The sequence below is a fragment of the Homo sapiens genome, chromosome 13 (genome assembly GCF_000001405.40).
Source record: "Homo sapiens chromosome 13, GRCh38.p14 Primary Assembly".
NCBI classification, from domain to species: Eukaryota; Metazoa; Chordata; class Mammalia; order Primates; family Hominidae; genus Homo; species Homo sapiens.
In genome coordinates, this window is record NC_000013.11 from 41,545,326 (window position 1) to 41,571,716 (window position 26,391).

Here is a 26,391-nt window from a genome sequence, read left to right on the forward strand (position 1 = left end):
CTCATTATTGAGTACTTTCCTGCCCAGGGGCCCATCCTCCCAGCACTTGGATTCCAATGTGGTTTGTGGGAATGATTCATGTGGCGCCTAATAATGGAGAAAGCCGTGGTTTATGGTTTAGTTTTGTCTGTCAGGTAAAGGTGGAGATAGTGACACACAGGAAAAAGTTCTCACCAAAGTCTCCAAAGGACACTGGGCCAAGGCCCCTCTCTGCATCTCATCTTCACATGGAGGAGGGGGTGGCCCTGCAAGCCATGGGGACCAAGCAGTGCCTCGTGCTCTTCCCAGGTGAGTGTCAGGAGGGCTGGGGATCAGTGGCCGCAGCAGCAACCCCCATGCTCCCTTTCTGGTCCCTTCACACGTCCATCTTTTTTCAGCTGTTGACCATGATTGATGTGTTGGACTATGTTTTTTTGGTTGTGCCCCTGGATGGTTGGTTTTTTGAGATGTGGGGTCAGTCTCTTAATCTCACTTGTCTAACAAGAAGATCCAAACAAAGACCTTCTCCTTCTGGGTTCAAATGGGACGTCTATTCAATGCACACTCTGCCCCTCTGACATGCAGTTTCCCTCCCACGTGGGGAGCTCCAGCCCGAATCACTGACCCCACTTCCTCTGACCACACGCTCCCTGACTGCCAGTGTTCCCTGCCTCTGTTCGCCAGGCTCCACACTCCAGGCTGGAGGCCTTGGCTTCCCCCTCGGCTCCCTGCACCATTGAGCCAGTGGCAGCAAGTAGCTTCATCAGCTTTATTGGTGGAGGATCCAGGGGAAGGCTGTTTAACTCCCAGGCCAAGCTCTTTCCTCCTCTCCTCTTAGGCAAAGATCTGGGGCACTAGCTGGCCACACATGGGTGATGCTGCCTAAGTCACTTCTTGAAGCACTGGGTTAGACTGGTCCTTCCTGTCTACCTGGACCTTAGGACTCTTCCCCAGCAGGATGGGGTTAGAGGGCCCAGCGTGACCGAAGCATTGGGAGGGCAGGAACAAGTTAGTGGTGTTTGCCTCTCCCTAAGGCCTGGCTTACACTTGGAGAGGACCAGCCTTTGACCCTGCACAGCAGGCTGGGGTTCTGCAAACAGCCCCGACCCCAAGATGGATGTTCAGTGTGTATCTGCCCCCAAACTCCCACAGGCCTCAGAAAACCGAGGGCTGCCTCTGGGGGAGCAGGCTTTGGGCATTCCTGGGGCTGTCCCTCCGCTCTGCCACTTAACAACCGTGTGGCTGTGGTTGAGTGACTCAGCTCTCTCTGTAAAGCAGGGATGGAATGAGTCCTTTGAATCAGCATGGGGAAGATCCAGTGAGCTTCTATATGCCCAGCGCATCACAAGGTCTTGGGAATTAGTGGTTAGTACTGTTGTTGCTGCCATTCATCCATCCCTCTTGCAATTGTTAGTTTACTTTCTGTCTTCCCCAGAAGCTCCTCTCTCCATATCTGTGCCGTCCGCTTCTCTGACCCCAGAACCCAGTGTCAATACATATGGCTGGATAGATGGTTGAATAAATGAATGAATGAATGAATGAATTTATTGTTATGGAGATTAAATGAGACGCCACAAAAGCTCCAGGAACAGAATGACTTTTTATCTGGAGAAGGCAAGGGGACAGGCCACAGGCAGCCCGCATTGAGGCAGGCCCAGGGAGACACATGAGGCCTGGGTTGCAGCATCACAGCACAGCGCGGGAGAGCCCAGTGCTGCTGTGGTGAAGGTGTCCAGGTGGGTCACCTTTGCTGGTGGCTCTTTACTTCCGACTTCTGTGTGTACTCACCTTCCCAGACCCTTGGCCTCCCTGGGAGAGCTGCCCTCCTGGACCTGAGCAGTGGGTGACAGCCGCACCTGTCCACAGGGAAAATGTTGTCGATTTTCTGTCAGTGTGAACTCTCACATTTACATTTTTGCCAAGCTGAAAATAACAGTAACATAAACACGCCTCCATGGCCCTGTCCTCTCTGAAGGGAGAGGAGAAAAAAGTGCAGCCCACTCCAGAAAACAATGTTCCCTCTGTTAGCAGACACGGGCTTCTGTTTAAGTCCCCAGGGCCCCCACGGCTGCAGTGGAATGAGCTGGGCCCGGCCTGCTGGGTGTACCGGCTGCCTGGGCAGCCCCTCCCGAGGCCAGCCTTGTTTACGACCGTGGGAGAGGGGGCCGCTCCCAGCCCAGCTAGGCACCCGTGAGGCACTGACCAGCCAGCCCTGTGGGAACCCAGGGCCCTGAATGCCTCCCCTGTGCAGAAGGGTCAGTGCTTTCCAACCCTCTGCCCTGTGCACTGTGGTCAAGGGCACATCATGTCCCCAAGCACAGAGTGTGCTCAGGGTCCTATTCTTCACAACAGCCTTCCTTTCACTGCCTGCTCAGCAAGCAGAAAAGGTTAACATTTCCATCTTCCGTCCTAAGGAGATGCCTGCTGGGACTTGGTCTCAGGCATGAGTCTTTTCTTCCTCCTTCCTGGGAGGGGTTGGAACTAAGCCTCAAAGCAGAGTAGCTGACAACGTGGCGTGGGAGAGGCTTGGATGTGTCGCTGGAGAGAAACATTCTTGCCACCCCCACCCTAAAGAGGCTGCGGGGACAGGCAGCCCAGCCCTCCTGGCCTATTTTCGGGCTGGAGAGAGGTTCAGTCTCAGGCACAGTTTTGGGAGGCAGATCAGCCTCCCTGTTCCGGCCTCCCACTCCCATGGAGCTCTCTGCTGCCTCTTCCAAGGGGCCGCAGATACCCGTTCCTTGCTCTATTTCTTCACCAGCCCTACCTGTTCTCAGTCCATTACCTCATGGCCCTGCTCTCTGCTTACTAAAGTGACAATTCGTCTATAAGGAAGCCCTTGCACTGTAGCTGAGGATTCGCGAGGCTGCACCCTCAGCAGGCACTGTGGCCACACAGCACTGGCCTGAGATCTGAGTTCCTGGAGCCTCGGCCCTGAGGCCCATGGTGAGTATCTCTGTAGCTACTCAGCCAGCCTGCCTTGGCCTGGTGATCAATAACCTGGGACCTTTCCCCCAGCACCAGCATCTGTGAGCTCAAGGAAGACATCTGAACTTCTTGATAGCAGGGCAGGGCCAAACCATCTACTGAAATCATCAGCAAAAGTGAGGGGAATGCAGGACTGGTCGCTCCAGAAACTTCTAACTTTTTAGCTAGATGTAAATCATCGCACAGCTTTTGCTGCAATGTGGACATTGTGAAGGGTGTTTTGCCTCTTTTAGGGGTGCAATAAAAAAGGAAAAATAATGGAATGAGAAAAAAATCCAAAAAATGGATAAAAATCTTTGGTCAAGTCCTGTAAAACTATGATCTTAGTTCTCAGAGTCTATGGGAAACACATCACAGTGGGTCGACTTATTTCTGTCTCCAACCCTAGAGACCATCTCGTGTAAAAAAAAAAAATTTTGTAAAACAAGAAGAGTTAGTCTTATTATTCAGTATACCACAATTACTTGCTTAGTTTTCATTTTGTTGAGCTGCTTCTGGTTTAAATATAATATATATATTTGAAGTCTTAATAGCCATTGTGATCACAAAACTGCTGGCAAGTTTTATCAAAACCCTTAAGACAGGCAAACGTGAGGCTCTTAAAGAGAAAATCCTCAGTCGCCCCCTCATTTCTAATTTATCTAGCACAGTCAGTAAACATGTCTTTCAGAGGGAACTGAAGACAATTAGAAATAAATCAAGATACAAATGAATTCAATACTTACTGTTGTATAGATCAGCAGCTGTCAACCAAAGGGTAGCTTTGCCTCCCAGGGGCCATTTGGCAATGTCTGCAGACATTTTTGATTGTCGCAGCTTGGAGAAGAAAGGCTGCCGCTAGCATTCGGCGGTACAGACTAGGAAGTCTACAATGCTCAGAATGGCCTCCCACAACAAAGAATTGTCTGGCTTGAAATTCCATAGTGTCAAGGTTAGAAATGCTGGTATAGAAACTATGAGAGACACAAAACGGCATAAAGGCATAATTACTGCGTTTTAGGAATTTGCAAGCTAACTTGTTTTCAAAATGCTACATAATGAAAACAGACTTTAATTTCTCGTATTTATTTCCCTTGCTCTGGTCCCTGTTTGAGATGTATGGGAAAGCCAGGAGTCCCGCGATGCTTCTGAGTGAGGCATTCTGGGTAGCGCCAAGAAGGGCAGTACAGGGACATTGGTGCATGGGCCACGGGCAGATGGCCCTTGCTGGGCTCAGCTGTTCACTGGAATGTGCACTATTCTTGGGGTGACAGTGAATGACTAAGCCATTTTACCTTCAGGGGGTCTGCAGCTCTGAGGCCACCCAAGGACACCAAAACCAGGCCAGGAAGCTCTAGTGGGGAAGGTGATGAGAGGGGGGGCGTCGGTGCACAGAGCGGCACCGTGGCTGCGTCCAAGTCCAGTCGGGTTTTGGAATCTTGTCCTGCGTGTCTGTTTGTGATTCTCTCACTCTCCTCTGGCTTCTGGACCTACCATGTTCTATGGAGCATCCAAAACTGGGGAGCTGACACCTCAGGGCCAGCCCTGCACTCTCATTTCTGGCGTATACCACAGTGGGCCTTACTTGGGAGGCATTCGGGGCAGGGCCCAGCACAGACGAGATTCTCAGAATGTGTGGACGATGGCACTGTAGTTGAAGAGGGGAGTCCTCGCTTCTAGAGCTCCACGCCTGAATATTTACAATGAAATGATGTGATAGCCGGGATTTACTTCAGAGTAACCTGGAGTGCAGAGACAGAGGCTAGGCGATGGGAAACGAGAATGGCCATGAGCCTTGGGGATGGCCCATGGGGGTCTGATCTACATCTGTCTCTGCTTTCGCATGCATTTGAAATTGTTCATAAAAATATCTGTTAAACCATACTTGTCCCTCCAAGGCCAAGGCATGGTATAGGGGCCAAGGTGAGTGAAGAGGCCCCGGTTCTCTTTTGGAGAGAATTACTTGGTTTGGAATGAGAGTTTTTAATATCTCCCTGTTGATCTGGAAGAGTGGGGCTCCTGTCACGGGTGGGTAGGGGACCCAGTGCCAGTGGTTAGGGGAGGCTGGAGGCTGGCTGGGTCCATCAGGATGTGCTGGTGAGGACGCGGCTCGGGCCATCCCCTCAGAGCTGCCCTGAAGCAGGAGGCCTTGCAGGGGTTTGAGGAGGCCGAGTCTGCACTCAAGAGGTTGCAAGAACCAAGCTGCCCTGATGCCGGGGATGGGCCCCAGGCTGAAAGCCTGAGCACAAGCCAGGCCTGAAGGGCACTGAGCGGCCAGAGCTGACGGCACTTCTGAGGGGCTGAATCAGAGTCAGTCCCAGGAGAGGGAAGAGGATGAAAGGAATCAGGAGGGCTTGTTTGTGCTTTAAGCCTGTCCACAAGAACCAGGAGATGGGCTCCTGGGATTTCACAATTCGAGGTCCGTCTGGTGCCTCCTGCATCCTCTGCACTTGCACATTGTGTGACATATGAAAGTCGGAAGTGACCTGAAGACACGTGCACCACAAGGGATGCTGTGGAGACGCCCTACAGGGACTCTGATGTGGGGGGCATTTCCGATTTCTGGGGCCTGGCTTTTAGATGAAGGCAGCAGAAAGTTACCTAAAGACAGCAATGGAGAGGTCTTTAGTGATCCACTGCTGTGTAATAAACCACCCCGAACTTAATGGCTTGTAACAGCAAGCATATATTCCCTGCCATGTTTCCGCAGGTTGACTAGGCTCAGCTGGGCAGTTCTTGGCTGGTCTCACTTGGGGTCTCTTGGGAGGTTGCAGGCAGAATGCGCCTGGGCTGGAGTCCTCTGGTCGCTCTCCCAGGGTCCCAGAACAGCTGCCTGTCTACGTGGTCTCAAGGCCTTCGCTCCCTATATGGCCTTTCTATGCAGTGTCTCCATGCAGACTTTCTGGTGAAGGGAGCTGGGGGCTTCTCACATGGAGGCTCGGGGCTCCTCAAAGTGCAGAACCAGAAGCCTTCTTAACACTTAGCCAGAAGCTGGCCCAGTGTCACTTCTTCCTCCTTCCTTTGGTTGAGCTGTTGTGGCCAGCTCAGGTCCAGGGTAGGGAAGTAAATTCTTGATGGGAGAATGACAAGGAATTGTGGCCATCATTAATCCACCATAGGGACCCAGTCTGGAGCCTGCACAGAAGTGGGGAAGCTGCGGCCGTGTTAGGTGATGCCGTCTTGTAGACGCGGGAGATGCCAGAACCGCTATCCCTGGCTCCTTCTCTGTGTCCTCGCTGACTTGAACAAGCAATGGGTCATTGTAACATCTTCAGATGCCTCTTGGCTTCATGTCATCAGCTATAAAGTGGCATCACAGTGATATCTCTCTGGGGCCAGCCCTGGGTCCACCTGCCAACCACCTCCCTGTGCACAGTTCTTGGAAGTCATTCATTCACCTGACCAGACGCTGAAGCCAGACCCGTCCCCACCCACTGAGGCCACCTCCGTAAGGTCAGGTTGTGGCCATGTGCTGGGTCATTTCACTCCCTTCTGGGCTCACAGGAAGGAAGGAGGTCTTTGCAGGGGCAAATGGAGCACCACCTCATGTCTGCTGCACCTGCTCACATCCTCTAGCTCCTCCTCCCAGCAAACCTGCCTCAAGGGCACACAGAGTCCTGGTGGAGTCAAGACTCGAGTCCAGGTCCTCATACAGCAATGCCTTGTCTTCCCTGCAGGCTCCCAGGGGCAGGCAGGTGGGAGATGGGTGCACAGGGAGTGCCATCGTCCCCACACCCAGACTCCTCAGGGATTCTCTTTCCTCAGTTACAAAGAGTGCTGGCTCTGCTAGCCAGGACAGATGTTAGCAATTTTCAAGGAGCAAACATTTCTCATTTCATCTTACCTTAATCAAGTTACTTGGGCCCTATCCACAAAAGTGTCTGAGGAACAGATGACTGAAGAAGGGTGACAGCTGCTGCTGGCCTGGTGGGGGCCTCTGTGCAGTGAATGGCTGGCTGGCTGCTGGATGTGGCGTGGCTTGCTGATGGGCATGAATGTGGGGAGCGGGAGCCTGCCTCTCAGCTTCCTGCATCTGGAATTGAAATTGGACCTGTTTGCAGGTCAGTGTGCCCTGGGGGAACTGCCATTCTCTCACTCTCCTCTGGGTCCTGGCTACCACTCCAGCCTGTCCCAGTGCCCATGGCTGGGAAAGGAACACCCAGGACATCGCTGGCTCAGCCCACACTCTGTCACCTCTCTGCCACATTCTACACACCGTGGGCCCTTTTGGGAGACTTTCTGGGCAAGGCTTTACCAGATTGCATTTAAAAATAATCTTTCAAATATGCTTCACCTTCAAAGCCAGGCTAGAGATGGAGAGGCATAAAGCGTGACCAGGAGGATTCAATGTTTTCTTGGAGAGTCTGATTTGATTTCAGTGCTGAGTAGGAGGAGAATGTCCTGCAGCCCCTCTCTGTTTCACCTTAATTTGTAAGGACAGGGGTGTTTCTTCCCCCCCACAGTGCCTAGACCTTTGCTAAGCACAGTTGGAATCAGCAAACATCAAGAAGCACTGAAGATGCACTTGCTGATCGAAGGTAATTGCTCTCGACCTTGGCCGAATACTAGGAAACTTTAAAAATCATGGATGCCTGGCTCCCACCCCCACATTCTGGCAATTGGCCTGGAGTAGGACCCGACAGAAACTCCCCTGTGATTCTACTGTGCAGGCGAGGTGAGGCCTCCTGCCCCGATGCCTGCTCCTCCGCTCCTACCAGCCCTGCTGGATTGAGCCTGACTTTGCCTCAGCTCGGGTGTGCTCACAGGGGTGTCCAGCCAGCTGCCTCTTGTCACCACCATGACCTGGACAAGCCCTGCTGCTTCCCAGTACATTCGGACAACGGGACCGGAGGAAAGAGGATCTCAGTTGGAGAGTCCAAGGTGCCTCAAATCAAAAGATAAAACTTGCAGATGGCTGCCAATGGCTCGGGAAGACACCGCTAAAGTCATGTCATGCCATAACTGGGACTGCATCTGTGAGGGAGGAGCATGACCTTGGAGGCAGAAGGTCAAGGTCAAGGCTCACCCATTCTACTCCATGTGCTTGGCTTCCCCATCTCCATAAATGGCAGCTTCATGTTTTCAGTATTGCAAGCCAGTGGACTTATGGTCATCTTTGATTCCTCTTTCTCTCACATTTCACATCTAATCCATCAGCAAATCTTGTTGGCTCCACATTCCAAATATATCCGGACTCTGACGGCTGCTCACCACCTCTGCTAGCATCTTGTCAGGTCTGAATTACCGCAACCACCTCCTAACTGGTCCCTCTGAGTCCATCCCTGGCCCGTCACAGTCTATTCTCATCGTGGCACCCAGAGCAGTCCTTTCAAAATGCAATTCGGAGTATGTCACCCTTCTGTTCAGAACCTTCACTGGATTCTAAACTTACATCGTGGGACATCCCAAATTTTTACTGTAATCTCTAAGACTGGCCAGGTCTGGTGCCTGCTGTCTCCTGGGCTCATTTTCTGCTGCTCTCCTCCTCATTTATGCCAATCTGGCCACCCCAGCCTCCTTGCTGTTCTCTAAGATTCCCACGGTCCCACTGCAAGGCCTTTGCACTTGCTGTTCCCTCTGAGTAGAACACCCTTCTTGATATTTGCACAGCTCACTGCCTTCCTTCCTTCAGGTTTGTCTTCAGTTATTATCTTATCAGAGAGGCCTCCCTGTGTACCTTACTTAAAATAGTGTCCCCTAACCGAATTCTAACGCTTTTTTTTTTTTTTTAATTTTTTTTGGAGGCAAGGTCTCACTCTGTTGCCCAGGCTGGAGTGCAGTAGCCTGATCACAGCTCACTGCAGCCCTGACCTCCTGGGCTCAAGCAATCCTTCCACCTCAGCCTCCCAAGTAGCTGGGACTACAGGCATGCACCACCACACTTGCCTAATTTTTGTATTTTTTTGTAGAGTCGGGGTCTCACTGTCTTACCTGGGCTGGTCTCAATCTCCTGGGCTCAAGTGATCCTCTCAACTCAGCCTCCCAAAGTGCTGAGATTACAGGTATGAGCCACCTTTTTCCTTTCATTCTCAGAATCTGTCACCACCCACATATTATACATTTACTTGTTTACTTGCAGGCTCTTTCCCCTAGAATGTGTGTTCCCTAAGAGCAAGTTCACTGTGGTGCCTCCAGCACCCAGGATAGTGTCTGAAACACAGCAAGTGCTCAGCAAATATTTGCTGAATGCATGAGTACATGTATGAGGAAAAGCAGTTGCAAAGAAGATTCCAGGGTGGGTCTTTTGGGAGGTCATGTGAACCAGACCTTAAAAGACTGAGGGTGAGCATGTAGGGGTGGAGCGAGAGGCTTTTCCAGAAAAGGGGATAAACAGCTGTCAAGTTGGTCAGGAGCTCAGGCCAGCGGTGGGAGTGTGGGTGTGAGTGGAGCATCTGGATGGAGCTGTGCGCGCCCAGCTCATGAACCCCCCTCAGAGCTACTGAGGCTGAGCTGATGTGCTTGGGAGCCCTGTGCAGCCAGGAGAAGGCACTGCATGGGCGTCCAGGTTAACTGCATGACTCAATTGCTCTCTCAGTTTGATACCACAGACCACATAGCCTCCAGGTTTAGTTTCTCAGAACCACTCATGAAGGTCCTACTAACCAGGGCTGACCTCTGGAGGTGAGTGGAGCTGGTGTGGTTTAAAGGGATGGATTTTTCTGCCTCCCCCAACCTGGCTGAGGCCTGAGATGGCTTTTGTTGCCTTTGGGCTTTGTGGACCTCACTTGGCCTTGTGAGCATAATTGCATTCAGCCCCTCCAGGAGTGGTAACACGTTCGGGGTAGGGAGCGGACACTGAGGTGGTGCACTGTGGGAGACAGGGAGGGAAAGGTAGGTTTTGAGTCTGAGGAACTGACTATAACCCAGGCTGGGGCCCAGCCAGGAGGCTGTTTGGGTACAAACTCAGTCTTGCGAGGATTGCACGGCTGTGTGCTCACAAACACGGCCAGGCAGCTACTGAACATCCATCACCAGCTCCTTCCTGTGTCTGGTGACAACAAGTTGCCTGTGTACCTATTAGTGCCAGGTAATGTCAGGTACTTTACCACATTACCTGGTTAATCATCTCCAAAAAATTATGGAAAGATAAGAAATTCATTGTGCAGTTGGGGAAATGGAGGCATAGAAAACTTCCTTAAGCTGGGTGATGTCAGTGAAAATGGTGGAATAAGGACCTCAAAAAACACTCTTCTCCATAAAGGCAATATGAATCCTGGCAAAAATGGTCAGAATTCAACTTTTCCGAAACTCTGGAAATTTAGTAAACACTTACAGCAATCTGGGTAGCATTTACTTAAGAAAAATGGCTGAATCTTAGTAAGAGCAGTAAGCATTGTGATGTTCTAACTTGCTCCATTAGAAATAATAAACAAGTTCCGGGCATAAGATCGATACATAAAAGTCAATTGTATTTTTTTACATGAGCAAGGAATAACCTGAAAATGAAATTAAGAAAATAATTTCATATACAATAGCATTAAAAAGAATACAATACTTAGGAATAAATTTTGAAAAGAAGTGTAAGTCTTATACACTGAAAACTCCAAAACATTGGTGAAAGAAATTAAAGAAGAGCTAAATAAATGGAAAGACATCCTGTGTTCATGGATTGAGTTACTTAATATTGTTAGATGGCAAGACTCCCCAAATCGATCTACAGATCAACGGAATCTTTACCAAAATCCCAGCTGGCTTTTTTGCAGAAATGACAAACAAATCCTAAAGTTTATATGGAAGTTCTAGGGACCCATGACAGCCAAAATAACCTTGGAGAAGAAGAACGAAGTTTGAGGACTTATACTTTCCAATTTCAAAACTTACTACAAAGCTACAATAACCAGGACTGTATAGTAGTGGCATAAGGATAGACACATAAATCACTGGAATAGAATTGAGAGTCCAGAAATAAGCCCATACATTTATTTGTGGGTCAATTATGTTTGGACAAGGATACTAAAACAATTCAATTGGGAAATAATTGTCTTTTCAACAAGTAGTGCTGGGAAAATTGGATATTCACATATAAAAGAATGAAGTTGGACCCCTACTTCACACTATAAACTAAAATTAACTCAAAATGGATCAAAGACCTAAATGGCTAAACTGTAAAATTATTAAAAGAAAAAACATACATGTAAACCTTCATGACCTTGGATTAGGCCATGGTTTCTTAGCTATGACACCAAAAATGCAAGCAAACAAAAACAAATAGATAAATTGAACTTCATCAAAATTAAAAACTTTTATGCTTCAAAGGACACTATCAAGAAAGTGAAAAGACAACCCACAAAATGGGGGAAGTATTTGCAAATCATATATCTTATAATGGTCTAGTATTTGGAATACATAAAGGATTCTTACAACTGAACAATAAATAGACCAATAACCAATTAAAAATGGGCAAAGGATTTGAATAGACATTTCTCCAAAGAAGATATACAAATGACCAATAAACACATACAGAAGTGCCCAATATTGGGCTGGGCATGGTGGCTCACCCCTGTAATCCCTACACTTTGGGATGCTGAGGTGGGCAGATTGCTTGAGTCCAGGAGTTTGAGACCAGCCTGGGCAACATGGCAAAACCCCATCTCTACAAAAAATACAAAAATTAGCTGGGTGTGGTGGCACACGCCTGTAATCCCAGCTACTCAGGAGGATAAGGCAGGAGAATTGCTTGAGCCTGGGAGGGGGAGGTTGCAGTGAGCCGAGATCATACCACTGCACTCCAGCCTGGGTGACAGAGCAAGATTCCATTAAAAAAAAAAAAAGTTGCTCAATATCATTAGTCGTTAGAAAAATGCAAATTCAAATCACAAGTTACTACTTCCCATCCACTAGGACAGCGATGGTCAAAAAGACAGAGAATAAGTGTTGGCAAGGATGTGGAAAAATTGGAACCCTTTTATTGCTGGTGGGAATGTAAAATGGTATAGCTACTTTGGAAAACAATCAGGCAATTCCTCAAAAAATTAAACGTAGAGTTATCTTACAACCCAGGAATTCCACTCCTAGTTAAATACTCAAGAGAACTGAAAACAGACGTCTGCACGAAAACTTGAACACGAATGTTCATAGCAGCATTATTCATATTCACCAAAAGATCCATTGGCTGATGAATGGATAAACAAAACGTAGAGTATATTGATGTAATTGAATATTATTTGGTTGTAAAAAAAAATGAAATAGTGATTCATGATATAACATGGATGACCCTTGAAAACATTATGGTAAGTGAAGGAAGCAAAAAAAAGTCCCACAATGTATAAATCCATTTGTGTGAAATGTTCAGAACAGGCAAATGCATAGAGACAGAAAGTAAACTAGTGGTGCCAGGAGACAGGAGGAGTGATGCAAAGTAACTACTAGCAAGTATGGGGTGTAGAATTAGGGACTGCTGATGTTTGCACAACTTCGTGAATCTACTCCAAAACGCTGAATTGTACACTTTAAAAGGGTGAGTTTTATTATGTGTATTTTTCAGTACAAAATATAAAAAAATGTTTTATTTTTTAGGACAGAAAACTAGTTAGTATGGGGTCATGATTTGAATCCAATGTCCATGCACTTAAGGTCATCTGCGCCAATACCTCTGGGGCTTGCTAGGCAGCATGTGGTCACTTGGAACTGTCTCAGGTACCCAGAGAAAAATGGTTTCTGTTGGGTGTCACTATGTGCCACTATCTGGGCACAGCTTCCTGGGTATCTGCTTGTCACCAGGGACTGATCTAGACACAAATTCATGTTCAATGTCACACAGCCATCCTTGTCCCTGCCACTACTAAGATTTTGTTACAGGGTCAAGCTTGTGTGTCTGATTTGCTCTTCCGTTGAGTTGGAATTGTTTCCAGTTGTTTTCTCATCTCTCATGTGGATGGATTAGGGGTGGCCAAGCTACCACTCTAGCAGATATGGCAAAATTCCTGCTTGGGCTAAAGCTGAGATGCCTCCTCTGCTGCCCTATTATCATGGGTACTAACAGGAGCCCTGGGAATTTCTTTTCCCTAAGATATTTTAAATAGGGTAGACTTTCTCATCTTTGACCTATCCATACACCCACCACCCACCCACTCATTTATCTGTCCATCCATCCATCCATCCATCCAACCATGCATTCATCCATCCGTCCGTCCCTCTGTCTGTCCATTGTGCATTCATTCCATTTGACTAATCCATGTTGTTCAGGGCTCTTTGCAAAGTGACTGACTGAAGCACAGTTTTGCCTGGGTTGGGGAACATGGGCCAAGTGATTTTCTCTAAAGTCTTCTAGGGATTTATTAATCTAGGTGTCTTATTGGGTTGTGTGCAGGTAGGAATGTTTGGCAGCCATGATGATCTGCCGGAGAATCCCAGGCAGCCTCACAAAGGCTGAGATGATTCTGATGCTCCCTGTTGATTTCCCTTTTTTCTTGTTTTTGTTTAGGCCATAGAACAAGCCATTTTCAACAAAAGGACTTGCAAATTCCTGCCTTAGGGCTCCTTCTGCACAGGACAGACCTTTCATCACCAACCCAACTTGTAATCTTGGGTAAAGAAGGTTCTCAGCTCATTTTCAAGAAGAAAAAAAAAATGTAAGTAAAACAAAACAGCCACATCACGAAGTTGCTCCACATAATGAGGCCTGCTCTGTTGACCTATCATTACCCTGGGCTCCAGGCAGGCCTGGGCTGCCCGGCCAACCTCCCACCTTATCCCTGGCCAGTCAAGGTTGGGGTCAACAGCTGGGCAGCCCAGAGGCCACCACAGTGGCTGTGAGGATAAGGCTGCTTTTCAGGGTCTGGCCTTGCCTAGAGCTGCTTGGCTGGATGGTGGTAGCTGAGGAGGAGGAGAAGAGTCCTCTGAGGCCTGCCAGCTCAGCTACCCTGGGACATTCCAAATCCAGGCTTTTGCTTGAACTACACTTACCCTCCCTTTCTTTTGGGGCTCCTTGACTCTTCTTGGCTCATGTGGGTCTTGCCTGCTTTTCAGAGCCAGAACTTGTTCTGCCTCCCAGGCCCATGGTGCCTCCCCATCCCACAGCTATTTGTTCAGCAAAAATTTATTAACCACTTTTCAGGGCCAGGCCAAAGATAAACAAGACTTGATCCCTGCTCTTGTTCCTCCCACAATAGGGAAGGCCGATATGGAAAGAATGATGAGAGAGTGTGGTGAGCACCTAGGGCCATTCTTACTGCCTCAGGACCACAGAAGCTGGTGTCAAATGCTGTTGAGTTATTTCTCCACACTCTTTTGGTGATGCATCCTGTTTTCCCAGTTGATTGAAAACACCTAGAGGGAAGGGTCTTAAATGTCTTCTCTCATTTTCTGAGTGCCTTGCATGGTGGTGACCCAAGTAATGAAATAGCTGTCCAGCAGCAAGGAACTGTTTCCTTCAATCCAAATTTTACTGGATTTCTTGGTCTTTATTTCAATCTGGGAGCATTAGGTTATGAGAAAAACAACAAACCTAACTAACCTCCTATATTTGTTAGGCTGCTGTGCAAATTGGTGGGGGTCTCTGATCCATACCATCACCCAGTGTCTTAGTCAGCTTGGGCTGCTATAACATATTACTGTGGGTGACTGGGTGGATTAAACCACAAGCATTTATTTCTCACAGTTCTGGAGACTGGGAAGTCCAAGATCAAGGTGCCAGCAGGTCCAGTGTCTGGTAGGAGCTGGCTTCCTGCTTTACAGACAGCAATCTTCCCATTATATCCTCACATGGTGGAGAGTGGGACAGAGCTCTTGTGTCTCTTCTTTTAAATGCACCAATCCCATTAATGAGGCCTTCACCTCATGATTTAATCACCTACCAAAGTCCCCACCTCCTGATACCATCACAGCAGCATTTAGGATTTAACACGGGAATTTTGGGGGAACATAAATATTCAGTCCATAACACCCAGGATCCCAGGTTCATTGAAGCTTTGCTATCTTAGGTAGAGCTACACCATCTAAAACACATAGTTTTCTCCGTCACCCCGATTCTGTGAAAGAGAGCTGGAGGGTTGCCTACTAGCTCTTAAAGGCTTTAGCCCACTATTGACACATCACTTCTGCTCACAGCCCAGTGGCCAGAACCAGTCTCACCGTCCTGACCTAACTGCAAGGGCCCAGAGAAATATGGGAGATGTGTGAGCAGTAAATGACTCTGCCATAGTTCCCAAGCTAGCTTAAGTGAAAAGGGGGTGGCTGGGAGGACACCAAGGCATCTTATGGGTCTCTATCTAGGAAGGGGGTCCATCCAAGCCCCCAAAGGAACCGCAACCAGACGTTGGAAAGTTAGGACCCATAGTCACATTCTTAGAGTTCCAGGGTGCCGTATTTACTTCTCTCTCCTTCAGTCAGCAAGTTGACTTTTTCTTTTTTCTTTTTGGGTAGACTGGTTTTCTTTGCTTTTCAAATACAATGGGAATAAGAACAGTCCCTGTCTGAAGGAGCTGTGAGGATATAATGAGTTTATCCATGTAAAGTGTTCAGGAAGTGCCTGGCGCATGGGAAGTGCTAGGTAAGAGTTAGCTATTGCTATTATTTTATGTAATAATAGTAATATTTTTAATTATTCTCCTTGCATATGCCAAAACATGGCTGCCTAGGCTTAGCCTCTAAGACTCCCCCGAGAAGGAACTGACTAAAGGGACCAGTTCTTTTGGGAGCTGAGTGCCTAACTGAGTCAGGGTTCTCCCTGGGTTTGGGGAGAGGGAACAGGCCAGCATGCCCAGCTAATTTTTAAAAATTTTTCGTTGAGATGGGATCTCCCAGTGTTGCTCAGGCTGGCCTTGAACTCCTGGGCTCAAGTGTTCCTCACGCCTCGGCCTCCCAAATTGTTGGGATTACAGGCATGAGCCACTGTACCCGAAGAGAACCATCTTAAAGAGAAAAAAGAGCTGTTTTTATTTTTTGTTTTTAGAAGGCCACGTTCATTTTTTCAGAGGCACTTGGTCTTTTTAGTGCTAAGGAAATAATACTCAAGGATTTTTAAAAACTGTTACACAACAGCTTCTTCTTAAAGGCTGAATCACAGGCACTTTAGAAAACTTCTTAGTGGAGGAGGCTCCACTGATATGTACTCAATACTTACACTCAACAGGAGGGATATATTTCGATTTTGAGTTTGACAGGCACACACTGATCTCATTTAAGTCCTTACCCAGCTGGAGCTCAGGAATTCCAGTGCGCTTTCCACAAGAACTTCCTCATGTCTTGTCGTGCCGAACAGTGGGGCATGACCCAGGCCCTGTTTCTGCAAGGAAAGAGAAGTGGCTCCCAAGAACTGTAGTGGCCTCTTGGTATAAATTGTTTTCCTAAAGGCCCACAGTACAGGGCAAGAGTTTTCTTGGCAACCCAAATTAGAAATAAAAAAAAAAAAAAGCTGATTTGTTCACATCATCAAATAATGGCCCAGAGGCTGTGGAGTAGATGTCCAATTTCAAAGGCCTTGCCCTTCCTCTGGGCCAGAGGCCTTTCATCACAGCTAGGAAATTACCTCCCTAACATGCATGCTGCGCCTGCCTCCATAACCCAGAGGTCAGAAAGGCAGAGCACTTCTATAAGATGGAGGCAAAAATACAAATGGAAAACTGGGTGTCTCTGCAAAAACAAGACTAAGGAGAACCAAGGCACTGCCATCCAAACCCAACACCGCCTTCAGTGAGTGCTCTCAGGAGGCCTGACAGCAGAATATATGCCCAAGGCAAGAATGTCACCCAAGGTTCCCATATCTCCTGCCCTCACGTTGTGTCCCAGGTCTGGGTTCTCTGCTTGAGTAATGCTCCAAGCTGCAAATGCCCCCAGCCAATTCTATCTCCTCAACCCATCACAGGCCCTCTGTCTAAGGACCTTCCTACCAGTGGGGGTTAGGAGGAAAGCATGGGAATGAAAGAATTTGGACCAAGGGGTGCATGATGGTAGCCCGTCAGGGCAACTTGTAGTTGAAAAGAGAAGCCCCTTTTGCAGGGAAACACCACTGTACAGATAGACTTCAGATGCTGCGGGGCACGGCGCCAGGCCAGCTGTGTGGAGCTGCATTCCAGCCAAGTGACTGAATATCTGCTTTCATGCGGTTTTGTGGAGCTGCTACAATCTTCCACCTCTGCAGAGTATACCCGTTTCTTCCAGTCACCACGAAAGGTCATGCAAAAAGAGATTCTTCAGTTCTGGCACTACATATTTAATATCAAATCTTTGTACTTGAGCCTGCAATGGATGGACATGCATATTCTATCAGCCTTGAAAATAGCTGTTCCAACACTGGAGCCCTGAAGGAAACTTTTCAGTTAAATATTCTCTCTTTGCCAACTGCCAAATAGACAATTTTATTATTCAACCCATGGATCCATTAACTCAACCCTGGCCTTCCCCAGTAGCCCCTGTCATCTGCTCTTCTTTTGTGTGTAACACCCTTGATCTGAGCATCCGCTTGTTGCAGAGGCCCTTGGATTCCCCAGCAGCCTCAGGCTCTGTAGGAGCCACCCCTAGGAGGCAAGTCAATCAGGCTGCTTCCCCAGCTTTGCTATTTGATTTCTGTTGGGGCTGCAAGTGTTCCTTTCTAGGCCATTTTTAGGCCTGAATTTCATATGGGCCATAAAATCTTTTGTAAAAGGAAATGGATCAGCTAGCTTTGTCGAGACTCACTCTATTTCTGGAGTCCTGATGATGAAAGACTTAATTAGTGCTGGAGTAAACAAACGGTCAGTCTCGTTAAATTAGCAGCAGTATTTATTAATATAAACACATTGCACTTGAAAAATCCAACTTTAATGTCCCCTCTGAGTAAATATACTTATTTTTCTTCAAGTTTCAATCAGTAAGGCTTCATGTACAGCCATGATGTCATGAGACCAATTACACAGAGTACTCTTGACAGGCTCATGATTTTCTTGCCGTATTCTGGCCTGCGTAAGGAGCAAACTTGCTTTAGGATGTTCAGAGAGACACTGTTCTCTTCCATTTCCAGGTCAAACCCCAGCTACCATGACTTAATGCTTCAGAGCTGCATTTCATATTAATACATTCTTATATTCTGAAACTCCTCTGTGGTCACACTCACCATCTTTGGAGTCTGAATTTATTCACACACTCTGGTTGTTCCTTCAGGGAAGGAGCTAGCAGCCCCAAAGTACTTCCACTGAAGCCTTTGGAAAAGAGGGAAGACTCCAAGTCTCTGGCACCTGCAGAAGAGGGGAATCTTGAGAAGTAGCTGACGCTCCGAGTTTACATGTCCCCTTGGTGAGATTTCTTACAGCAGAACATGACGTTCTTCCCACCCCCAGGATGCAAACCACTTTAAAAGAATGTTATACTTTGCTCTGCGTGGCCAAATACCACAAACACCACTTGATTTTAAAATTATGTAGTCTTGGTATTCCAAAGCCAACGTGCACCACCATGCAAGAACAGATGCGGTCTCTGAAGGCAAAAGCCCCAGGCAGTGCTTAAGTCTCAAAAAAGAGTTGTCATGTCATCCTCAACTTGAGATGTTTGCTTGGCAAGCATTTTTTACTCTCTGGAGGAAATTTTGTTTACAGGATTTAACAGTTACACACACAAACACACACACACACACACACACACACACACACAATTACTCATTGTTCAGCTGCAGAACAAAGGTCAGCTCTTGGCACGCAGTAGTTTTCCAATTCCTGATCCTTTTTGATTTTCAATGTGCCCATCAGCAGACATGTAATTTTATCTTAAGACAGCCAAGTGCAAAGCATGAGACAATAGGCAGAAATCTTGTAAATAACTATCAAACAGAAATAATCCTTTCAGCTGACGAGGGAAAGCCTCCTTTGTTCCATTTTAATGATGTTTATATAAATTTTAGTATGCATATTCAGTCAGTAACATTATTTTAAGGCAGTTGATATAGGTGCCAAAATCCTCTGTGTACTGAGGAGATAGGTTATCTTTTGCATGTGTGGGGTTTTGGAGACAAAAGTTGCACTGAAGTGTGTGGCTCTTGTAAATTATCTCAATTTCCTGTTTGAGATAATGGAGCAGTGGATTTTCACATCCAATCCCTTTAAATCGTAGGTTTAATTCAGTTGAGACCCAGAAGTGATTAGCCCAAGTTTACACAGGCACTTAATAGCTGAGCAGGGTCACAGACAAATTCTACCTAAAGTTTGCAATTACTCCCCATGATAAGCTGGAGAATTGGAATTCCTTTCCATTACCTGTAGTACTTTTGCCATAGTAAGTCTTAGAACAAGAGTAAAGAAAAGGCAATAGGTTTTCATGGCTGGGTGCAGGGGCTCATACTTGTAATCCCAGCACTTTGGGAGGTCAAGGTAGGAGGATTGCTTGAGGCTAGGAGTTTGAGACCAGCCTCAGCAACATGGTGAAACCCCGTCCCTACCAAAAAAAAAAAAAAAAAAAATTAGCTGGGCATGGTGGCATGAACCAGTAGTTCCACCTACTCAGGAGGTTAAGGCAGGAAGATCTCTTGACCCCACGAGGTTGAGGCTTCAGTGAGCTATGATTGTGCCACTGCATTCCAGCCTGAGTGACAGAGCAAGGCCCTATCTCAAAAAAAAAAAAAAAAAAAGAAAAAGGAAAAAGAACCTTATGATATAATCCTGACCAGAAATTGGACTTAAGTATTTTTCAAAGCCATTTATGTTACTGGTTGGAAAAAAATGATAAAAGTGGACATTTTGTTTCTTAATAAGATTAAAAAGCTATGTACGATGTATTAAATATAAGTCGACATTTGATTATTCCTTAGATGCAATTCCAGAAACAAGTTGTCCAGGCAGGAGAGGCTGGCTTAGAATTTGTGGAGTATCTTACAATTGTGGTCATTGGAAACAAATCGAAATGCAGCAAATAAGCCACTATTCCTGTTGTTCCCCTTGTCTGTTTCTCCCAGCTTTATTCACTTAGAAACTTAATTTTGCCTGATCTGACAGGCACAAGAAGGAGCCAGGTGGAGGGAGGCTGGAAGCCTCCAAGGTTGGTCTTTCAGGAACAATGACAATGCTGTCTACTGAAAACCACTTCCAAACGGCTTTCAAAGCCCAGGAGTTTGTTTAGAGAAAATCTTGCTGGCATTGATGGATTTCTTCTCCTCTGACAGTTCACAGGAAAGAGTGTAGTATAAAGAATTAAGTGATTCATTCCAAACATCTGATGGGTTCCCTTCAAGTACTCCCCCTCTGATCCACTTCTTATGGCTGTGCTGAGCCTCCCCATCTGTGATGAGGTCATTTTGTCGGGCACACAGAGGATTCTAGGGGGAATATGCATCATATACTGCAGCTATTCACGGCATTCATTCCTCCTGGCTGCTCATGGGTAACAATGAACCTTCTCAGCATTACATGTGCTTACTAAGGAGACAGGGGTTAGATGCCTTTCAGTGGAACCCCCCGAGGCACACAATGCATTTATTATAATGTCTTGGCCCTAAGAAGGGCCTGGGAACAGCTTGGAGTGGTCTATAATTAAGTACATTTAATAATAAATGCACATACTTCTTAGGTATTGCAAGAAGTGAAAATAAGCTCTTCGTCTTCTCAGTCTCAATTCCCTTTCCCCATCATCCTTCCCCTTCACAAATCAGAAAAGCCAGGAGTACTGTGCTTTTTTAAAAATAGCAATTGCAGAGGATGTCTGGCTGGTCGAGAAAGGTAAATTAAATTACTTGAGAACATTCTTTCCATGTCAAAAAAAATGGCTTCTGCCTCCTCAGGTAGTTACGCATGGGGAGGATTTGCTAAAGGTTGGCTGTTCCTTTAATCTCCCTTGGATTCCACTTCCAAAGGCTTTCAGGGGCAGTGACCCGCTAGCTAAGGGGCATCCCTTGGGGTTAAGCTGCCACTTGGAAGGGCACTTCCTCAGATTGCTGCTGTGCCTAGCAAGGAAGCAGCAGTTAGAAGTGTTCCCCCGACAGTGTCCCATGTCCTCGGTCCCCACACCTCTGAGTGCTCGAATATGGGCAGATAGATAGACTTTCTGAGGAAAGGGAGAGGAAGAGAGCCCTGTGAATGTGGACAGGGTACAAGAAGAGAAGTCACACTGGAAGGAAGAGAAAAAGGCAGCAGGAGTGTGACATGTACATTTGTGAGATGCAGCAAGGGGCGTGGGACTGCGAGGGACGCAAAGGCATTAAGGGGCCTGGAGGCTGGAGGCCCAGCTTTGCCCCTGCCTGGCTGTGAGTGTGGCCTATTTTCTTGAACTTCTCTAAGCCTCAGTTTCTTTACTTGTAAAATGAGGATGTTAATGGTACCATGAATAGTTAGTGAAAGGTCTAGTAACAGGAATCTTGGGAAAGTGACTTAAATTCTCTGAGCCTCACTTTCTTTATCATCTGCAAAATAAGGTAAAAAATACCCCTGTTACATGCATTGTTGTAAGGATGAATGAAATAATGTATGCAATCACTTAGCATATACCTGGTTCACAGTAAATCATCAGTAAATGCTAGCTGCTGTTGTGGCGACCGTTGGAATGCAATTACATTTTTAAAGATACATGTTGGATTGAAATTGTTTGCATCATTGAATGGTTCAATACATGGAGCAGGTGTCTCACTAGAGGAACAAGAAAGCCATGCAAACTCACCAGGTAGTACCACGTTGGAAATCAGATTGCTTTTATTTATTTATTTGATAGTTAATGATAGGGAGAGGGGTGATAGAACAAATGGGTATTATCTTTTCTTCTTTCCTATAATTAATTAAAATGAAATTATGGACCTGTACAATTTCAATAGATATGGATGGATAGGATAATATTATTAATAATAGTTTTTCCAACTTAAGACCAGTTTTTTCAACTCACTGGTGCCCTAACGTTTCTGATTTTGCTATCAATCGTGAAGAGGAGTTTTTAAATTATATGGTTAAAGAGAGAATGACTTTTGCTGAAGCATCTTATTTTAAACAAAGTAATATTGAGCTTATTGATAAAATAAAGGTCAGCCCAAGAGTGTGTGGGAATAAGGTACATTTTGAAAGAAAAGAGAATGAGGCTTTAAAAAAAGTTGTTTTCTTTCTTTTTGTTACAGCTAAAAATTTCCAATCACCATTCACTTCAAATATACCACCTTGATTTTACTTTTTTTACTTTGCTTTAGGTAATTTTTATATGAATATTCTCAATAAATAATTTTCGTGTAAGCATTTATTATTTTGAGCATTACAGTTTGGACCCCAAAATGGAGTACTGTGAATTTTTTGAGAGATGCTAGAAGAACAGAAGAAACAGTAAACTTTTAAGGCAAGACATCTTTCTCCTCCCACTCTAGCAGCAAGGAGAAGAGGACATTTGCTCTTTAAGAGCCTTTTAAAAGTCACGTGGAAAGGCAAGCACTCCAAGGATTTTTTGATTCCTTTTGGCTTTGGCCAAGAAAATGAAATTATTGAGAACAGCCAGACTTTCATAAGATATTGCTGTTGGAGGGACTTTTTGGTGGGTTAAATATTATAAAATCATTGTTTTCTGGTCAATACAGAGCAGGGAGAAAATAAAAATAATTGTTGGATAGGAGCATTTTGGTGGGTTTTGCACAGACTTGCATCTTGTGTCAGAATGTGACATCAAAGGCTCAGTTTGATGGGGTCACTTTTCTAACGTGACCAGATGATGTGTTAAGGCAAAAGCAAAGTATTTTCTCCCCCTCAGGTTTTTGGAAATAGACCAAACACATAGTTCTCAAAACCACCTTCCTTTAACCCCAACCTTTGATAAAGTGCAGGTCAACTAGCTTGCCCTAATCACTTCTAAACTCATCAGTGGAGTATCTTTCCATGTTTAAGTCTCCTTCTGGCTGCTTCTCTGAATTCTCATTACGGAGCAAGTGTAGGAAGACCCAGGAATGCCGGAATCATCCAGTCACTGCATGGGTTCACTTCATCCATATCTTCTTTTTTTCAGAATACTCTTTATTCCTGTCTTATTTCAAATCCTGGTGTCATCAGGGTGATGAAGGGCACTTCTTAGACACTCGACAACATGGTGGAGGTGAAGATCTGTTGTAAAATCTGAGGGATATCCTTGGTATCCATGGCAACGAAAGACCGACCAGCTGGTAAAGTTCTCTGAAGCCTGCCAGGATGGAAAGGGAAAGGAAGTTACCACTGTAAATGGGGCTCCCTTCCACCTCCTGCCCTGGCAAACCACAGCCCCCTAATGGTTTCTTAGGAAAGGAAGTTTTTACTTTCTAATACCTTGCTCTCTGCCTACCATTGAATTAGTCGTCATTAAACAATGAAAGGCTTGGAAGAGCAACAAGGAAAGACACAGCAAAAGCAGGGAACTGAAAGAAAGGTCTTTTCAGTGAGAAAGTCAGTGAATTTGAAAAGAAAAAATTTTCTTCCTTTCTTTACTGCCATTTCTTGGTATTTCATATTCTTTTGGTATAACAGAGCCATAGGGATTCATATGGAATCAGCTCACCTCCCGGGTCTAGCAAATATGTTGACCTTACACTGTATTTCGAAGTGCTTTTCCTTCCTTAGAAAACAGGCCTCTAAAAACGCTGCGCAGCCAAACCCTGAGTGGTTCTTTCTCTCTTTCTTTGCCTCTCTCTCTTTTTTTTGGTCCACATCACACAATGTGAAATGCGATCTGGATTGTCCAATTACTGCTTCAATGACACTGAGGTTATACAGGCTTATGAAATTTTTTCCAACTCATTTTTAAGTGAATTTTAAAAAACTTATAATGGGTTTTGATTTGAATTATCCTTAAAAATAACATGTCATTGAAGTTACGATACTTTTTTAAATACTAATTTATAATTTGGAACAAAAGGCCATTTTGAAGGCAACAAAACTGTAAGACACAGTTCTCTTCAAAAGAACGCCTCCTTTCACTGTGCCAGTGAAGTCTGGCTTTGGAATGACATTTAATAAAATTCAACCATCCTGTGTAGTATCGTATATTTGGCATGCCTGGTAAGCCAGCTAATTCTGCAACATATCTTTTGCCAGTGGATGTTGGACCATTTCCCTAGGAAACCACAAGGGTATTATTGTGCTTTCTTAAGTATTCAAACAGGATCTGTTCACTAGAAAGACAAAATAGCCATTTCATCTCAACTAGTATTTGTTGAGCTTGTTGTCTGCCTAATACTGGGCTGATGCTGAGGAAAACCTGGGTGGAAAAGGCATAGTTTGTGTTTGAGGATGTGGAGGTTCTAAAAGATGCAAAGTGCTAACTTGTAAAAACTAAGAAGAATGAAAAGTCATGTCATAAAATGACTGTAACTACATGATATTAAGTCTGTTCTCAACCTCGCTCTGCAACCTTACAGCAAGGCAAAGGGAATAGAAAGAGAAAAAGCTGCTAGCATTTTGGATATTAAAACATTTCCAGTCACAGAGTATGAAAAGTAAAAGGGGTGGAATAACAAAAACGTAGGCCCTTTGTGCTTTAGGCAGGGATTTTTTTTTTTTTTTTTAAGATTACTTTCACTGGTGTTTTATGTTTCTTACAGGTATTTTAAACACAGAAAAACCATGAGCTCTTTCTGTTTGTAATTCAAAAAGATAAATGTTATTGTGTTCAAGTTATGAAAGTGTTTCCAGATCTCTCCTTTCAGATCATACCCACTGGTATTTATTGTCTGATCATAAGATTCTCTATTGAATATTTAGTATATTCAGTGTAGTATCTAACTATATGTATATTATCTTATGTTGTCGCCAAGTGTTTCACCTGCCTTGTCTCTCCAGCAATAAGAAGGGATACATGTGAGTGTGTCTATATATATATACAGGCATGCATATATGTAGGTGATGTCTCTATGGGGATATAATACATATGTGTGTATATATATGTCTAATATGTACAGACATTCATACACACACACTATCTCCTATGCTAGGAAAATAGTAGATGTTCACGATTTTTAATATGATTTGAACACAAAATGATTAGCCTGAGCTTAGGAGCTTGACATAAAGTGCCAAATGTATAAAATACTACCCGGTTTATTAGTGACAAATCAATTTGTCAATGATTTATTAGTGGCTTAAATATAAACTAAAAAATAATTAATTTAAAATTATTATTGTTCATCTAAACAAAAGCTAGAACATATCCCCTCAACTAGATTATAAACCCCTTGAGGCTAGTAACTTTAGTTTCTGTTTTTCCTCCATCTGCCTCACTGTCCCTCATGGTGCTAAGCCTATAAAACAGCATGTGTTAGCTACTCAGTATCTCTGTACCTGCCCTTTTCTGTATGCTCAGATGACACTTACCTGGTTGCTTGATCACCTAAAGAGCCAATAAAAATGGCAAAAGCATTTACTTGAGGGTCTCTTGTGAGGATTTGAGCAAACTTAGCAGGATGTATTCCATATCGTGACAGATTTGCATCACTCAAGACTATGACAAAGTACTCATCAGCTTCTTCTTTGACAATTTCCTTGATGGCATGTTCTGTCCCTTCTAACGTGTGGTCCCCACTCATGCAGAACTGAGAGTGGGCATGCATTGTCTGGAGGTAAAAGAAGTTGCACAAAAGCCATGGCTGAGAAACTTCTTTTTTAACAAATACGATTATTTTTCTATTGACCATGAGCATGCATACATACCAATTATTACCCATGAGTAGTACATTCTAAGTTAGTTCTATTTAATTTGCATATTTGAGTGACAACAGTATACAGTGATATTTGTTATCTGGCATAGAATTTCATTAGATATAGGATATCATTCCAAAATTATCACAGTGGGCACTTAGTTTTAAGTGGAAGCTTGCACTTCCACTTAAAGTGAGAAAATATAAGAAAATATAAAACTTGGTATCACATTGGAGGATGCAGATGACACAGGAGGAAAATAAGGAATGAGTTGAGTTTCCAATAAACAAAGGTATAATACTAAAAACATTGTACTCACGTCAATAACGATGGAGGAAAGTGACTTAAAATTGTGATGTGCATTTTTCTGTTGCAGGCTTAAGTGTGTGAAATGAATTACACATAAAATTGGGGACAGGGAGCACTCTAAAAGCGGTCATTCTGCTTACCAATGATATGATTGTATATCTAGAAAACCCTGTCCCTCTCCCGTCTCCCTCTCCCGTCTCCCTCTCCCTCCTCCCTCTCCCTCTCCCGTCTCCCTCTCCCTCTCCCGTCTCCCTCTCCCTCTCCCCGGTCTCCCTCTGATGCCACCAAAGTTGTCAAAGCCGAGGCTGGACTGTACTGCCGCCATCTCGGCTCACTGCAACCTCCCTGCCTGATTCTCCTGCCTCAGCCTGCAGAGTGCCTGGGATTGCAGGTGCCCGCCGCCACACCTGACTGGTTTTTGCATTTTTTGGTGGAGACGGGGTTTCGCCGTGTTGGCCGGGCTGGTCTCCAGCTCCTGACTGCGAGTGATCTACCTGCCTCCGCCTCCCGAGGTGCCGGGATTGCAGACGGAGTCTCGCTCACTCAGTGCTCAACATTGCCCAGGCTGGAGTGCAGTGGCGTGATCTCGGCTCGCTGCAACCTCCACCTCCCAGCC

General features: G+C 45.4%; 1 protein-coding gene, 2 long non-coding RNA genes and 1 other non-coding gene across 6 annotated transcripts in view, besides 1 other annotated feature; 1 reads left to right on the forward strand and 3 right to left on the reverse strand.

Moving 5' to 3' along the window:
• Window positions 1–18,766, forward strand: part of LOC105370174 (uncharacterized) — a 46,924-nt gene extending 28,158 nt beyond the window's left edge. Inside the window, exons 1-3 of one of the 3 annotated variants that reach the window (XR_941902.2) lie at window positions 2,290–2,922; window positions 13,367–13,514; window positions 18,022–18,766. This is a non-coding gene — a long non-coding RNA (uncharacterized LOC105370174). Of the gene's footprint in view, window positions 1–2,289; window positions 2,923–8,852; window positions 8,946–13,366; window positions 13,515–18,021 lie in introns of those variants that run through there. The other 2 variants (XR_941903.3, XR_941901.2) reach the window with 2 other exon arrangements.
• LOC105370175 (uncharacterized) lies at window positions 1,561–6,877 on the reverse strand. Its single transcript, XR_941904.3, has 3 exons — window positions 6,788–6,877; window positions 3,690–3,917; window positions 1,561–1,835 (listed from the first exon to the last, which is right to left on the reverse strand). It is a non-coding gene; the product is annotated as an uncharacterized LOC105370175 (long non-coding RNA).
• Window positions 8,536–8,727: a silencer, noted in NCBI's record as "fragment chr13:42127997-42128188 (GRCh37/hg19 assembly coordinates)". NCBI's record gives its function as "represses an EF-1alpha promoter that drives an FKBP-Casp9 reporter gene in an ReSE screen in K562 erythroleukemia cells {active_cell/tissue: K562}" and the evidence as "EXISTENCE:reporter gene assay evidence [ECO:0000049][PMID:32094911]".
• Window positions 18,767–21,509: 2,743 nt separating the features above from the next.
• VWA8 (von Willebrand factor A domain containing 8) overlaps window positions 21,510–26,391 on the reverse strand; it is a 394,275-nt gene continuing 389,393 nt past the window's right edge. Inside the window, exons 44-45 of the mRNA NM_015058.2 lie at window positions 25,143–25,381; window positions 21,510–22,980 (exon numbers count right to left, since the gene is read on the reverse strand). Coding sequence (NP_055873.1) covers window positions 22,872–22,980; window positions 25,143–25,381 — 348 coding nt within the window. The 3' untranslated portion in view covers window positions 21,510–22,871. The remainder of the gene's footprint in view (window positions 22,981–25,142; window positions 25,382–26,391) is intronic.
• MIR5006 (microRNA 5006) lies at window positions 22,961–23,070 on the reverse strand. The gene has a single exon (NR_049803.1). It is a non-coding gene; the product is annotated as a microRNA 5006 (primary transcript).